The sequence below is a fragment of the Homo sapiens genome, chromosome 11, assembly GCF_000001405.40.
Source record: "Homo sapiens chromosome 11, GRCh38.p14 Primary Assembly".
Taxonomy (NCBI): domain Eukaryota; kingdom Metazoa; phylum Chordata; class Mammalia; order Primates; family Hominidae; genus Homo; species Homo sapiens.
The window spans coordinates 36,510,338-36,526,822 of NC_000011.10; the positions used below are offsets into that span (position 1 = coordinate 36,510,338).

The 16,485-nt window shown below is 40.8% G+C and overlaps 1 protein-coding gene across 6 annotated transcripts in view; it reads left to right on the forward strand.

Annotated features, from left to right (window-relative positions):
• Positions 1 to 15: 15 nt before the first annotated feature.
• RAG1 (recombination activating 1) overlaps positions 16 to 16,485 on the forward strand; it is a 69,410-nt gene continuing 52,940 nt past the window's right edge. For 2 of the 6 annotated variants that reach the window (NM_001377278.1, NM_001440488.1), the window contains exons 1-2: positions 16 to 200; positions 9,795 to 9,892. The gene's annotated coding sequence lies outside the window, so the exon portion shown is untranslated. Of the gene's footprint in view, positions 702 to 9,794; positions 9,893 to 13,045; positions 13,108 to 16,485 lie in introns of all 6 variants that reach the window. The other 4 variants (NM_001377279.1, NM_001377280.1, NM_001377277.1 and 1 more) reach the window with 3 other exon arrangements.

Here is a 16,485-nt window from a genome sequence, read left to right on the forward strand (position 1 = left end):
GTGCCCCCTGGCGGTGATCCTCCAGGCGGACTGTGGCGCGGGCCGGGCGGCGCCCCCAGCCCCGCAGCCTGGCTTTCTTCCTGCTCGGGTGTCCCACCTGGGAATTCGTTGCACCGCACAGCCGAACCCGAGTGTGTCAATGGGTGTGTGTTGGAATGAGGATGGCGACGAGAAGATCCCTCCCGGAATAACTTAATTTGGTGAGCAGTGGCGACAGTAGTAATCCCAAACTGCGCTTTTATAGCACCCCTCTCCAAGCAGGAGAAAACCCCAGCTGGGCTAGATCGCTTGACCTTCAGGAATTCTTAAACCCCTCCCCAGCTCCACCCTCCTTGCCCAGGAAGTTTCTGCGATCCATAGAACCCTCTATTATTACCTGCTCTTCCCCTTCATCCGGTCCAAGGGAGTCAGCCCTTGCCTTAAATATTTCTTTGAATTTCCTGCCAAGAACACCAGCGCTTTGTCTTTCTCTGTCATGGGAAAACTATTTTAAATTCCCTGTTTAACTGGTCATAAACGTCTAGAGAATGTACCACGCGTTTTGCTGGAGAAGCACAAAAGAGTTTCATCCACCTCTGCATATTTGGTTCATCGTCCACCTCTTAGGGGAGGTTTTCCAGGATAGTAGTCATGCGTATGTATCCTGAAGCCAGAATGCTTGGTTCCAATCCGGTTTTTCCTACAATAAATGTGTGATTCAGGTAAAATACTTAATCTGTACTTGTTTCAGTTTTCTCATCTCGTATTAACATGGGGATAATAATAGTATCTACCTCACAGGGTTGTTGGAAGGATGAGATAAAATATGTAAAGAAATTATTTAAAACTATCTGGCCAGGCACAAATAGGCTCATGCCTATAATCCCAGTACTTTGGGAGGCTAAGGCAGGAGGATCACTTGAGGCCAGGAATTTGAGACCAGCCTGGGCAACATAGTGAGACCCCATCTTTACACAAAATTTAAAAATTACCTGGGTGTGGTGGTGCATATCTGTAGTCTCGGCTACTCTGGAGGCTGAGGTGGGAGGATGGCTTGAGCCCTGGCAGTCAAGGCTACAGTAAGCCATGATTGCACCACTGCATTCCAGCCTGGGTGACAGAGTGAGACCCTGTCTCAAGGAACAAACGAACAAACAAATAAACCCAAAACTAGGACATAGTATGGGCTCAATAAATGTTACCAATACTATATGTCCTACTTTCTGGCTGCCAATATTCATTAAAAATGCTTCTCTTTTTAAGAAGAATTTATCACTGGTTCTCAGGTTCTGTCAACCCCCTTTTAAAAGATTGTATTTTGAAACACTTAAGACATAAAAAGAGCACAAACATCTGTGTGCTCACCACCCAGCTTTAAAAAATAAAACATTGCCAGCCTTTGTGTATCCCTCCCTAGAAGCTCCTCTTAAAAATTAAATCTCTTATGGGATGGAAGAAAAGATCATTATATGAAATTGAGAGCTGGAGAAAAGGAAGAGCAAGAGAATCAGAGTTCCCTCCACTTCTTAGTGTGAGCTCTGGGGCAGGTTACATAACCTCCATGAACTACAATGACCAAAAACTATAAAAAAGGGGATAATGTCTACCTTACCAGGCTTTTGTCAGTATAAAATAATAAAAATCTATTGTGAGAGACTCCAGCACCAGGCTTTCAAAAAGATTAGGTGTTCTGTGTATGTTTCTTTACATTGTTTTCATAAGTGCCCTCAAGGGGCCTTTTCCTACTCCTTCAAATCCAATTTATTCAATATAGGAGAGAGTTTTAGTGCTCATCCATGCCTTGGGCACACAGGAAACTTACAAATACCATTTCCCTTTGCAATCAGGCAGGGCCACGTGACTAGTTCTGGCCTGTGAGCTATGACGAGAAGGATGCATATCATTCCTAGGTCAAAGCGTTTTATTTTCATTGCAAGACTGTTTCCCCTGTGTGCAACCAAGGAGCAAAGGGCAACTACAAGAGGGAAGAGATGTATCACTCAGTTGATGTATGAAGGGCAGTTGCCTTGGAAAGTCAATCCACCTGCATTGGACTTACGAGAGCAGGAAACAAACGCCTGTTATTTTAAGCCATTGAGATATTGGGATTGTCTTTTCTGCTGCATAGCTAAGCCTACTTTATGCACAGTTCTTTCTTGAATTCTTTCCTGATACTCGAAATAAGAAAGCCAAAGTTCTACTCCTGCTTCTGACTCTCATTGAAATTGGGACCTGGTCAGATGTCCTTATCTATAGAGTTGTAATGAAATCTATCCTGTCTTCTTTTCAGAGCTGTTATGAGTTCAAATGAGGTCATATGGAAAGATACCTTGCAAACTAGGAAGTCCTACGCAGATGGAAATAATTGAATATTCCTATTAGTAAAGTTACCTATATATAGCAACCACAATGATCAGGTTTCCTGAAAAGCTGCTATTAGATTGGTGCAAAAATAATTGTGGTCTTTGCCTTTACTTTTAATGGAAAAAATGCCAATTACTTTTGTACCAACCTAATAATTTAAAATATTTTGTCCAGTTGTCCTTATAAGTAAATCAAACATGAATAAAGATATAGTCTCCATATCTTCTATAGTTTCAATGCGTCCCCTAAATTTCATGCGTTGGAAACTTGATCCCCAATGTGGTGGTTTTGGGAGGTGGGACCTAATGAGAGGCATTTGGGTCGTGGAAGGACACTCTTCATGAATGGATCAATGCCATTATCATGCGAGTGAATTCGTTATTCTGGGAGTAGGTTCCTTATAAAGGGACAAGTTTGGTTCAGCCCCGTCTTTCTCTCCATCTCTTTCTCTCTTGCCTTCACTTTGCCCTCCAACATAGGATGACACAGCAAGAAGGCTCTTGCAAGATACCAGCCCCTTGAGTTTGGACTTCCCAGCCTCCAGAACTAAGCCAGTAAATTTCTGTTCATTATAAATTACCCAGTCAGTGTTATGCTGTTATAGCAGCACAGATTGAACTAAGACAATATCATTCCTGGGTTGCTGTTTCTCACATCCTATTTGAAAAATGAAATAGGAAATAGTTTTACACAGCTGAAGGTAGAGTTGGGAAGGTAAAACTTCCCCAAACATTTGGAAATAAGATGGCTCTCTACAAGTTGAATTATAAAATTATGACACAATTCATTAGCTCAAAATACACTTATTGAACAACCATTATAAGTGTGTGTGGCAGCCTGCCTTGAAGATGGTATTTATGCCCACGTGTAGTTTGCTTCCACAATACATAGGGCTGCCTCATGTAACAGTATATTAGTCTGTTCTCACACAGCTGATAAAGACATACCTGAGACTGGGTAGTTTATAAAGTAAAAGAGGTTTAATGGACTCACAGTTCCACATGACTGGGGAAGCCTCACAATCATGGTGGAAGGCAAAAGGCATGTCTTACATGGCAGCAGACAAGAGAGAGAATGAGATCTAAGTGAAGGGGGTTTCCCTTTATAAAACCATCAGATCTTGTGAGACTTATTCACTACTACAAGAACAGTATGGGGGAAACTGCCCCTGTGATTCAGTTATCTCCCACTGGGTCCCTCCCACAACACGTGGAAATTAGGGGAGCTACAATTCAAGATGAGATTTGGGTGGGGACAGAGCCAAACCATATCAAACAGGATATTGTGGAAATGACGGAATGTGCCTCCCTAGACTGGGCTATAGAAGACATTGTAGCTTCTGTCTTGCTCTCTCTTATTTGCTATGAGGGAAAAGCCCTGCCCTGTCCTGAGGACACCCAAGTAGCCCTTTAGAAAGGCTGCTGAGCAACTGAGCCCTCTTGCCAATAGCCAGACGATTGCTGAGGCTTTCTGCCAAAGCCTTGTGAGTGAGTCATCCTGGAAGTGGATCTTCCAGCCCCAGTCAAGCCATCAGATGACATCTTGACTGCAATCTCACAAGAGACCCTAAGCTGGAACCTACAAAAACTGTGATATAATAAATGTTGTCTTAAGCTCTAAAGTTTGGGTAATTTGGTACACAGCAATAGATAATTAATAGAATGTGTTAGGCACTGTTCTTAGCCCAGGAGATACAGCAGTGCAGCAGTCCCCAAACATTTTGGAACCAGGGAGTGGATTTTTGGAAGACAGTTTTTCTACAGAGCAGAGTGGGGCAGAGGGATGGTTTTGGGTTGATTCAAGTGCATTACATTTATTGCGCACTTTATTTCTATTATCATTACATTGCACTATATAATGAAATAATTATACAACTCACCATAATGTAGAATCAGTGGGATTTCTGAGCTTGTTTTGCTGCAACTAGACAGTCCCATCTGGGGGTGATGAGAGACAGTGGCAGATCATCAGGCATTAAATTCTCATAAGGAGTGTGCAACCTAGATCCCTCACATGTGCAGTTCACGAAAGGGTTTGTGCTCTTGTGAGAATCTAATGCCACAGCTGATGTGGCAGAAGGTGGAGCTCAGGCAGTAATGTGAGGATGGGGAGTGGCTGTAAATACAGATGCAGCTTCATTCCCTCACTCACCACTCATCTGTGAAGGAGAGATTTAAACTAAATACCTGAGTGATGGTTTCTGCATGCAAAGATCTTTCAGCAGAGTGGTCCATGCAGAGGGAACACCTATTGCAAAGGCCCTAAAGCTGAAATAAGCTACATTTATAATCCAGAGCCTTAAAGTCAGTGTGGTTGAGGCAGGGAGAAGGAACTAAAGCAGCAGGCTTCAGATCAGAGTGGGCATACTCCTGAGGGGACACAAAACTTTCCAGAAGGTGTCTGTGCCCAGCTGTTTTAAGGAGGTGACACAACCTGGGGAGACTGTGTGTTCAGAGAAGAAACGCAACCTGGTACATGCGATCTGGACAAAAACACCTGAGAGTCAGAATCTTTCTTGTGCCAGAAGCAAGAATAAGAATGTAGATACGCTAACCTTTTATGAAAGTATAGACCAAGAAAGAATGAGGTAATTAAAAGGCGAAAGAGGAATTCGATATGATGGGACCTAGGCAAGGTCAGAGATCTAGTGTGGCAGCTGTTTGGAGGAGGAGGTGCCTTGGATCAAAATCTCCCCCTGGTTGCCCATTTTCAAAGGCAGGCATTTTGGAGATGGCCTGATGTCATAATCTTTGAGTTGTTAAATGTTACAATTGCTACCAGCAGTTAATGAAGCCAAAGAAGCACATGAAAGGATATTTCTGAATACAGGATTCTGGCCTTAAAATACACTGTAAGTGTCCTAAGTTTCTCAGCAGCCCCCACCATTCCACCCTCTTCTCCATCCTCCCCACTACCGTACTCCATCAACATGAGGGAAAGTGCTCAGAGCAGTGGAGGGGCAGGGCAGTGGGAGGGGGTGACAAAGAGGGAAGGGAAGGTGTGTGGACATGTGGATTTGTGCAGGGAGGCTCCCGGGGAGACTGTACACAGTAATGGCAGGCTTTGGAGATGCACCTTTGGTTGTCAACTGTCCAGGCTAGAAGCAGAGTCTGAGCCACCAGGAGGCAGAAGTTTAGTTTTAGAAATCACATTGAAATCTACAAAAGTTCTCCAAAATTTCCAAGACAACGAGTTTTCCTTGGTAAAGCCCATCTACTAGCAAGGAATACAAATATGTGCCCTCCTTCTCCGTTGTCTTCCCCAAATCCAATAAAAAACCTAGGCTTTTTTTGTGGTCACGCTCATTTTTCCTGCTCTTGGATAAAGGAATGAGTCTATTTTTTTCTTAATTTTGAAGAAAGGGGAAGGTGGGCACATATCCACTGCATTGGAGCCAGTTTTGTTCTTAATTTTGCCGCTGTTCATCAAGCAATGTTGAGATGATAAATTCACCCAATTAACTGCTTTCCTTGAGGGAAAAAATGTACCAGCCAGAGGATGTAAGTATCTGATCTACTTGTGAATTATAGTTTTAATGCAAATGAATTGCTTTTGTCTGATTTGCCTATATGTTTCTTGTGAGCCGAGTTAGTGCCCAGACACATGGTGTGGTAAAAATCACTGTTGTGTTTTTTGTTTGTTGGTTTGTTTGTTTTTTTGAGACGGAGTCTCGCTCTGTCGCCCAGGCTGGAGTGCAGTGGCGCGATCTCCGCTCGCTGCAAGCTCCGCCTCCCGGGCTCACGCCATTCTCCTGCCTCAGCATCCCGAGTAGCTGGGACTACAGGCGCCCGCCACCACGCCTGGAGAATTTTTTTGTATTTTTAGTAGAGACGGAGTTTCACCGTGTTAGCCAGGATGGTCTCGATCTCCTGACCTCGTGATCCACCTGCCTCGGCCTCCCAAAGTGCTGGGATTACTGGCGTGAGCCACCGCGCCCAGCCGGCAGATTCAGTTTTTGAACTGAGCTAAAAGTCAGATTAATTCACCGAAGTAAGTACTACCTTATGAATTCTCTTTGTACCTTCCCTTCTGGACACATTTTTGAAAATTACTAAAATCACCCCAAACCTGAAATAAAGCAAAAGGATGCCTACATGTCCTTTCAGTATTATTGCTTAACATGTTCACCTAATAAATATTTATCTATGTTGGAGCATGTGCCTTTGTTTGACTTTGCTACTTACTGCTGGAATTACAGGTGTTAACCACTGAACCCGGCCCAAAAACGTATATTTAAGCTTTTGGTTTATCTGTATTTTGAAACAATTGGAGGTTTATCGTTTAGGAAGTGTCTGAATTTAAAAGCCTGGTTTGTGTATATTGCTGATGGTTGCTAGGTGTGGAGGCTCTCGCAGCAGCAGCGAAAGGAGAGAATCTGAGGCAGGACAGGAGGAAGTGTCCCAAACTGAGGTTTGAACTTGGTGGGAAAAACAGGATACTTGTTTCCAGTGTTCCTGATTCGAATTTGTGATATGATTTCCCAAAAAGGACACTAAATCACGATTAGTTTTCTTGAATTGCCCACAATGTAGTTGAAATAATGTCTTTTATGCAACAGTATTATTTTCAATAATTGCATATTTTCATCGCAAACATATTTTAGTTACAGTATGAACCAAATTGTCTCTTGTGAGGCTGACTGGAAAACTAATCCCAATTTATAACATTGTTTCTATAGAAGAATGTGTATTTTGTTCCAAACAACTAAATGCAAATGTTTTGGGGTGGGGGGAATATACAATTTTTTTAGAGCAGAGTCAGCCTACAATGAGGTTTATTAGAATGACAAAATTAGGTAAATTACAAATGGCTTTACTATCAAAGGAAATGGAAGGTTTGTGTAAGTGTGTGTGTGTGTTTGAGTGTGTTTTATTAATGCTATCATACCTTTTCGTTTTCTGTCACATATAGTAGGACACATATTCCAGACTCCTGCAATCTTTACCCACATTTGCCTCTCTCATATGGTGTGGTCGTTAATACCTTGTGATTATTAAGAACAAAATAACTTTCAATTTCAAATTGAACTTGCAGAATGCATCCACCAAAAAGTCACTTTCATCCCAATTCCTGCCAGAACAGAACAGATTTCTTTGTGGATTTACTAAGTAGAACATTGCTTTAACAAACAACATGAGAGTGTTCGCTTTTCTTTTTAAATTTTATTATTATTATACTTTAAGTTTTAGGGTACATGTGCACAACGTGCAGGTTTGTTACATATGTATACATGTGCCATGTTGGTGTGCTGCACCCATTAACTCGTCATTTAGCATTAGGTATATCTCCTAATGCTATCCCTCCCCCCTCCCCCCACCCCACAACAGTTCCCGGTGTGTGATGTTCCCCTTCCTGTGTTCATATGTTCTCATTGTTCAGTTCCCACCTATGAGTGAGAACATACAGTGTTTGGTTTTTTTGTCCTTGCGATAGTTTGCTGAGAATGATGGTTTCCAGTTTCATCCATTTCCCTACAAAGGACATGAAACTCATCATTTTTTATGGCTGCATAGTATTCCATGGTGTATATGTGCCACATTTTCTTAATCTAGTCTATCATTGTTGGACATTTGGGTTGGTTCCAAGTCTTTGCTATTGTGAATAGTGCTGCAATAAACATATGTGTGCATGTGTCTTTATAGCAGCATGATTTATAATCCTTTGGGTATATACCCAGTAATGGGATGGATGGGTCAAATGATATTTCTAGTTCTAGATCCCTGAGGAATCGCCACACTGACTTCCACTATAGTTGAACTAGTTTACATTCCCACCAACAGTGTAAAAGTGTTCCTATTTCTCCACATCCTCTCCAGCACTTGTTGTTTCCTGACTTTTTAATGATCGCCATTCTAACAGGTGTGAGATGGTATCTCATTGTGGTTTTGATTTGCATTTCTCTGATGGCCAGTGATGATGAGCATTTTTTCATGTGTCTTTTGGCTGCATAAATGTCTTCTTTTGAGAACTGTCTGTTCATATCCTTAGCCCACTTTTTGATGGGGTTATTTGGTTTTTTTCTTGTAAATTTGTTGGAGTTCATTGTAGATTCTGGATATTAGCCCTTTGTCAGATGAGTAGATTGCAAAAATTTTCTCCCATTCTATAGGTTGCCTGTTCACTCTGATGGTAGTTTCTTTTGCTGTGCAGAAGCTCTTTAGTTTAATTAGATCCCATTTGTCAATTTTGTCTTTTGTTGCCATTGCTTTTGGTGTTTTAGACATGAAGTCCTTGCCCATGCCTATGTCCTAAATGGTATGAGTGTTCGCTTTCTTATAACCAAGTAATGTTCATGTTCTGAATGAGCTAATGATACTACTTTCCTGAAGAAGATTCTGTAGGGGATATCAATTATGTTAAATAAATAATGTCCTTTGAAGATTTGATATATGCCCATTGGAAGATTTCTAAAATGGTTATTTGAGGGTGATAATGGTGGTAATTTTTTCTTAAGGCATTTATTAAGGACCATTTACATTTTTTTTTGTTGTTTTCTGCACCAGTAAGGTAGGGATATAAAGGGTCAATATTACAAGTCAATGGGCAACAAAGAATTTTAGCCATGACCAGACAGGTGTGTTTTCTAATGGGAAATCCCTCAAAACTAAGGTAGAGAAGTGCCAAAAATCGTATTCCGGAGAGGAAATAAAATATTAGACATTGGAACACAGTTGGAAACTGAAATTCAACAGCTTTAGTTGCATTGCTCTTAAAGTCACTTATATTTACTTCAAACACATCAAGCATTTTTATTTGTCATCAAATGTTTCAGGATAATATTAAAGAATGTACAGTTTCCTATCTATACAACTGCACTTATAGTAAATTAACTATTCCTCTAAGGTTGAACATTAGGTTATTTCTTCTACCTTTGCATTTATAATGTGCCAATGAACTTTTTTTGCATGAATCTTTGTCAGCATTTTAAATTATGACTTTAAGAAGGATTCCTTCAAGGGAAATTGGTAGGCCAAAGGCTGTGAATATTTATGACTCCTGTTACAAATGACTTCCCAGAAAGGTATCAGTTTGTGTTCCATCTGGCTCTTGGTATCATCCTATTTGTTCTTTCCAGGATTCTAAGATTGAGTATTGTCTTAAAAACCAAATGAACATAACCCCTCCACGCCCTCCCACCAACCCACACCCACAACTTTAAAAAGAAATTCAAATTCACAGACAAGAGAAAATAGTCATGTTACAGAAGATTATAAAATAAAAAGTAAAAATGTCCTCCTTAACATTTTGAAACTCAGCTCTACTTTCTGAAATAGCCACCGTGATTGGAATTTAAATTTAAATTGACTACCAATTTAAAAATTTAAAACATAGTCTTGCTGTTTATGTAAGAACTACATTGGGAAAGGAAGGAAGAGCTTACCCACCAGGGCTTGAGGACCACTATCCCACAGTTCCTAAATTCATCAACATCACAAGCTTTCTTTTGACAGGAGTGCAATCTGAAGCCACTTCAAAGAATCACCTTGTTTTCTTGCTGACATTGCAGTGGGGACGATGAGACCCAAGGACATTCAGCCAAGAGGGAAATGTGAGTCATATGTTCACAAACTGGATAAAGGCTATTTATTTTTTAATTTTTTTTTTTTAGACAAAGTCTTGCTCTGTTGCCCAGGCTGGAGTGCAGTGGCGTGATCTTGGCTCACTGCAACCTCCATCTCCTGGGTTCAAGTGATTCTCCCGTCTCAGCCTCCCGAGTAGCTGGGACTACAGGCTCGTGTCACCACGCCCAGCTAATTTTTTGTATTTTTGTATTTTTGGAAGAGACGGGGTTTCCCCATGTTGGCCAGCTGGTCGCAAACTCCTGACCTCAGGTGTTCCACCCGCCTCGACCTCCCGAAGTGCTGGGATTACAGGCATGAGCCATGGCGCCTGGCTGAAAAAGGCTATTCAAATGTAGTGATAACATATATTTGAAAAAGGTTACAGTATCTATCCAGTAAAACATATCAGATATATAAAAGGGTTACAAACTTTATCTAAGAAAGTGAAACATTAGTGTTATGAAAAGGAATTGCTGTGTTTGTCCAGGCCAGTGAGACATTAAAGATTACTTTGTTAGTTGAGATCTTAACTCTTAAAATATGGGACAAAGTTGATAGCTATTGGTTATGGAGGCTGCTTTCCTTTCCTTCTTTCATCCTACTTCCCTTTCTCCAGTTTATAATTTCTCAATGGTTTGAGAGTAAGGGGCATGTTATCCTTAAATATTTCATTACACTAATTATATGGTTTGGCCTGTGTCCCCACCCAAATCTCATCTTTTTTTTTTTTTTTTGAGTTGGAGTTTTGCTGTTTTTGCCCAGGCTAGAGTGCCATGGCATGATCTTGGCTCACTGCAACCTCCGCCTCCTGGGTTCAAGTGATTCCCCTGCCTCAGCCTCCTGAGTAGCTGGGACTACAGGCATGTGCCACCATGCCTGGCAAATTTTGCATTTTTGGTAGAGACGGGGTTTCTCCATGTTGGTCAGGCTGGTCTCAAACTCCTGACCTCACACGATCCGTCCTCCTCAGCCTCCCAAAGTGCTGGGATTACAGGCTTGAGCCACTGCGCCTGGCCCAAATCTCATCTTTCAGCTCCCACAATTTCCATGTGTTGTGGGAGGGACCCGGTAAAAGATGATTGAGTCATGGGGGCAAGTCTTTCCTGTGCTGTTCTCATGATAGTGAATGAGTCTCACTAAATCTGATGATTTTAAAAATGGGAGTCTCCCTGCCCAAACTCTCTTCTCTTGTCTGCTGCCATGTGAGATATGCCTTTCATCTACCATGATTGTGAGGCCTCCCCAGCTAAGTGGAACTGTGAGTCCAATAAACCTCCTTCTTTTGTAAATTGCTCAGTCTTGGGTATACCTTTATCAGCAGTGTGAAAAAGGACTATTACAGTAAATTGGTACCAGCAGAGTGGGTGCTGCTGAAAAGATATCTGAAAATGGGGAAGCAACTTTGGAACTAGATAACAGGGAGAGGTTGGAACAGCTTGGAGGGCTCAGAAGAAGACAGGAAAATGTGGGAAAGTTTGGAACTTCCTAGACACTTGTTCAATGGCTTTGACTAAAATGCTGATAATGATATGGATAATGTAATCCAGGCTGAGGTGGTATCAGATGGAGATGAGGAACTTGTTGGGAACTGGAGAAAAGGTGCCTCTTGTTATGTTTTAGCAAAGAAACTGGATGCATTTTGCCCCTGCCCTAGAGATTTGTAGAACTTTGAACTTAAGAGAGATGATTTAGGGTATCTGGTGGAAGAAATTTCTAAGCAGGAAAGCATTCAAGAGGTGGCTTGGGTGCTGTTAAAGGCATTCAGTTTTATAAGGGAAGCAGAGCATAAAAGTTTGGAAAATTTGCTGCCTGACAATGAAATAGAAAAAAAAAATCCCATTTTCTGAGGAGAAATTTAAGCCAGCTGCAGAAATTTGCATAAGTAATGAAGAGCCGAATGTTAATCTCCAAGACAATGGAAAAAATATCTCCAGGGTATGTCAGAGGCCTTCGCAGCAGCCCCTCCCATCACAAGCCCAGAGGCCTAGGAGGAAAAAGTGGTTTTGTGGTCCCGGCCCAGGGCTCCTGTGCTGTGTGCTGTCTTGGGACTTGGTGCCCTGTGTCCCAACTGCTCCAGCCATGACTAAAGGGGTCCAAGGTATGGCTCGGGCTGTGGCTTCAGAGGGCGCAAGCCCCAAGCCTTGGCAACTTCCATGTGGTGTTGAGCCTGCGAGTGCCCAGAAGTCAAGAATTGTGGTTGGAGAACCTCTGCCTAGATTTCAGAAAGATGTATGGAAACGCCTGGATGCCCAGGCAGAAGTTTGCTGCAGGGGTGGGGCCCTCATGGAGGACTTCTGCTAGGGAAGTGTGGAAAGGCAATGTAGGGTCAGAGCCCCCACATAGAGTTCCTACTGGGGCTCTGCCTAGTGGAGCTGTGAGAAGAGGGCCACCATCCTCCAGACCCCAGAATGGTAGATCTACTGACAGCTTGCACTGTTTGCCTGGAAAAGCTACAGACATTCAACACCAGCCTGTGAAAGCAACTGGGAGGGGCTGTACCCTGCAAAGCCACAGGGGCAGAGCTGCCTAAGACCATGAGTACCCACCTCTTGCATCAGTGTGACCTGGATTTGAGACATGGAGACAAAGGAGATCATTTTGGAGCTTTAAGATTTAACTGCCCTGCTGGATTTTGGATTTGCATGAGCCCTTTAGCTCTTTTGTTTTGGCCAATTTCTCCCATTTGGAACAGGTGTATTTACCCAATGACTGTACCCCCATTGTACCTAGGAAGTAACTAACTTGCTTTTGATTTTATAGGCTCATAGGTGAAGGGACTTGCTTTGTCTCAGATGAGACTTTGGACTGTGGACTTTTGAGTTAATGCTGAAATGAGCTGAGACTTAGGGGGACTATTGGGAAGGCATGATTCATTTTCAAATGTGAAGATACGATATTTGGGAGAGGCCAGGGGTGGAATGATATGATTTGGCTCTGTGTCCTCACCCAAACCTCATCTTGTATCTCCCATAATTCCCACGTGTTATGGGAAGGACCTGGTGGGAAATGATTGAATCATGGGGGCGGGTAGTTCTTGTGCTGTTCTTATAATAGTGAATAGGTCTCATAAGTTCTGACGGTTTTAAAAATGGGAGTTTCCCTGCACATGTTCTCTCTTTGCCTGCTGCCATCCATGTAAGATGTGACTTGCTCCTCCTTGCTTTCCACCATGATCATGAGGCCTCCCCAGCCATGTGGAACTGTAAGTCCAATAAACCTCTTTCTTTCATAAATTGCCCAGTCTTGGGTATGTCTTTATTAGCAGTGTGAAATGGGCTAATACAACTAAGAACAAGGAGAGTTTTCTATATAACTATAATATAATTATCACACTTGAAAACTTAACTTACATAATAAACATTATCCAATACACACCCATATTTAAATTTCTCCAAATGTACTTCAAATATTTGTTAGAGATGGATGTTTGGCTTGGGCTTCCATCCCGGATCCAGTCCAAGTTCACAATTGCATTTGCTGGCCATTGCATAATTTTTTTAAAAAAATTACACTTTCAATTTTGAGATCATTGTAAATTTACATGCAATTATAAGATATAAGAAATTCCATTTATGCTTTACTCGGTTTCTACCAATGGTAACATCATGCAAAACTGTAGGCTAATATGACAATATCTTGACATTCATACAGTCAAGATATAGAATATTTCTGCTATCACCAGGATCCATCCGTCATGTTGCCCTTTTATACCACACCCACTCTCTCCTCCTCTATCCACCTTTAAACCCCCCAAACTACTAATCTGTTCTCTATTTCTATACTTTTATCATTTCAAGAATTTTATATGAATGGAATAATATAGTGTATAGATTTTTGGACTGGGGTTGGCTATGAACATTCCTGTGGCAGGTTTCTGTGTGAACATAAATTTTCATTTTTCTGGGTTAAATCCAGGAGTGTAATTACTGAGTCATGGTAATTGCATTTTAACTTTGGAGGAGGGGGGAGGGATAGCATTAGGAAATATACCTAATGTAAATGATGAGTTAATGGGTGCAGCACACCAACATGGCACATGTATATATATGTAACAAACCTGCATGTTGTGCACATGTACCCTAGAACTTAAAGTATAATAAAAAAAAAAAAGAAAAGAAAAGAAATGGCAAAGTAGTTATTTAGAGTGTCTCTACCAAGGTACATTCCCACCAGCAATGTATAAGTGATTTAGCTTTATTTTAGACATCTGATAAATATGTAGTTATATCTCAATGTGGTGTGTGCTATTTTTTTTTTTTTTTTCAGACAAGGTCTCACTCTCTTACCCAGGCTGGGATGCAGTGATGCAATCAGTGCACACTGCAGGCTCCACCTTCCCTCGCTCAGGTGATCCTTCCACCTAAGCCTCCCAAGCAGCTGGGAATACATGCACACACCACCACATCTGGCTATTTTTTGTAATTTTTGTAGAGACAGTGGGTCTCACTATGTTGCCAGAGTTGGCCTCAAACTCCTGGATTCAAGCGACCCACCCACCTCGGCCTTCCAAAGTGCTGAGGATTACAGGCATGACCCACCACACCTGGCCTCAATGTAGTTTTAATTTGCATTTTCCTAATGGCTAAAAATGTGTAACATCTTTTCATGTACTTATTTGCCATCCATATATTCTATTTGGCAAAAATGTCTTTTCATATCATTTGCCCATTTTCTAATTGGATTGTTAGTCTTTTTTACTGTGATTCATTTTGAGTTTTTGTATTAAGAGATGAGACTTAGGTCAAGTCTTTTTCTTCCTTCCTTCTTTCTTTTCTTCCTTCCTTCCCTCTCTTTCCTTCCTTGTTCTTTTTTCCCTTTCTTTCCTTTCTCCCTACATCCCTTCCCCTCTTTCTGTCTCTTTTTCCTTCTTTTCTGTGTGATATCCAATTGCTCTAGTACCATTTGTTTAAAAGGCTGTTTTTTCTCTATTGAATTGTTTTTGCACCATTGTCAAAAAAATTGGCTGTACTTATGTGGGTCTATTTCTGGTTTCTCAATTATTTTCATTGATTTTTATGTCTATCCCTCCACCAATGCTACAAAGTTGTGATTACTGTAGCTATATAATAAGTCTTGAAGTCAAGTAGATAAATTCTTCCTACTTTAGATTTTTAAACTTCCCTAAGCTCTTTTAGTTCGTTTACCTTCCATATAAATTTTAGAATAATATTGTCAATCTTAAACAATTCTTGCCAGTATTTTGGTAAGAATTGTGTTAGATTTGTGTATTAATTTGTGGGAGAATTCATACTTTTACTATATATGAATATTTCAGTCAATGAACATGGTATGTCTCAATTTATTTAGATCTTCTATGACTTCTTTCATCATCATTTTGTTGTTTTCAGAATGCAAATCCTTTACATGTTTCGTACGTGTTTTGTTAGATTTATAGCTAAGCTTTTTTTGAGCAATTTAAATGATATTACAAAAATAAATAAATCATTTTCCAGTGTGCACATTTTCATTGCTAGTATATTGAAATACAATTTATATTTTTAGTGGTTATCTTATGTTGCTTTGCTAAACTCACTTTTTAAATTCTAGGAGGGTTTTTTTGTGAATTCTATGAGATTGTCTATATAGACAATCATGTCATCTGCAAATAGAAACGGTTTCATTTCTTTGTGTTTTGTATGCTTTTCATTTCCTTTTCTTGCCTATTGAACTGGCTAGAACTTCTAACACTATGTTATATAAGAACACTGTAATTGTGACTTTTCTTGTCAGAGTTGTTAGAATGGTCGATTACATTAACTGGGTTTTGAATATTGAACTAGTCTTGCATCCTTGAGATAAATGTTGCAAAATTCTTCTCATATATTGTTGAAGTCTGTTTGCAAGTATTTTGTTAAGAATTTTTTTAAGTTCTGGGGTACATGTGCACAACGTGCAGGTTTGTTACATAGGTATACATGTGCCATGTTGGTTTGCTGCACCCATCAACTCATCAATTACATTAGGTATTTCTCCTAATGCTATCCTTCCCCCCTCCCCCCACCCCCGATAGGCCCCAGTGTGTGATATTCCCCTCCCTGTGTCCATGTGTTCTCATTATCCAACTGCCAATTATGAGTGAGGATATGTGGTGTTTGGTTTTCTGTCCTTGTGATAGTTTGCTGAAAATGATGGTTTCCAGCTTTATCCATGTCCCTGCAAAGGACATGAACTCATCCTTTTTTATGGCTGCATAGTATTCCATGGTATATGTGCCACATTTTCTTTATCCAGTCTATCATTTATGGACATTTGGGTTGGTTACAAGTCCTTGCTATTGTGAATAGTGCCACAATAAACATACGTGTGCATGTGTCTTCATAGTAGCATGATTTATAATCCTTTGGGTATATATCCAGTAATGGGATTGCTAGTTCAAATGGTATTTCTAGTTCTAGATCCTGGAGGAATTGCCACACTGTCTTCCACAATGGTTGAACTAATCTACACTCCCACCAACAGTGTAAAAGCATTCCTATTTCTCCAAATCCTCTCCAGCATCTGTTGTTTCCTGACTTTTTAATGATTGCCAGTCTAACTGGTGTGAGATGGTATCTCATTGTGGTTTTGATTTGCATTTCTC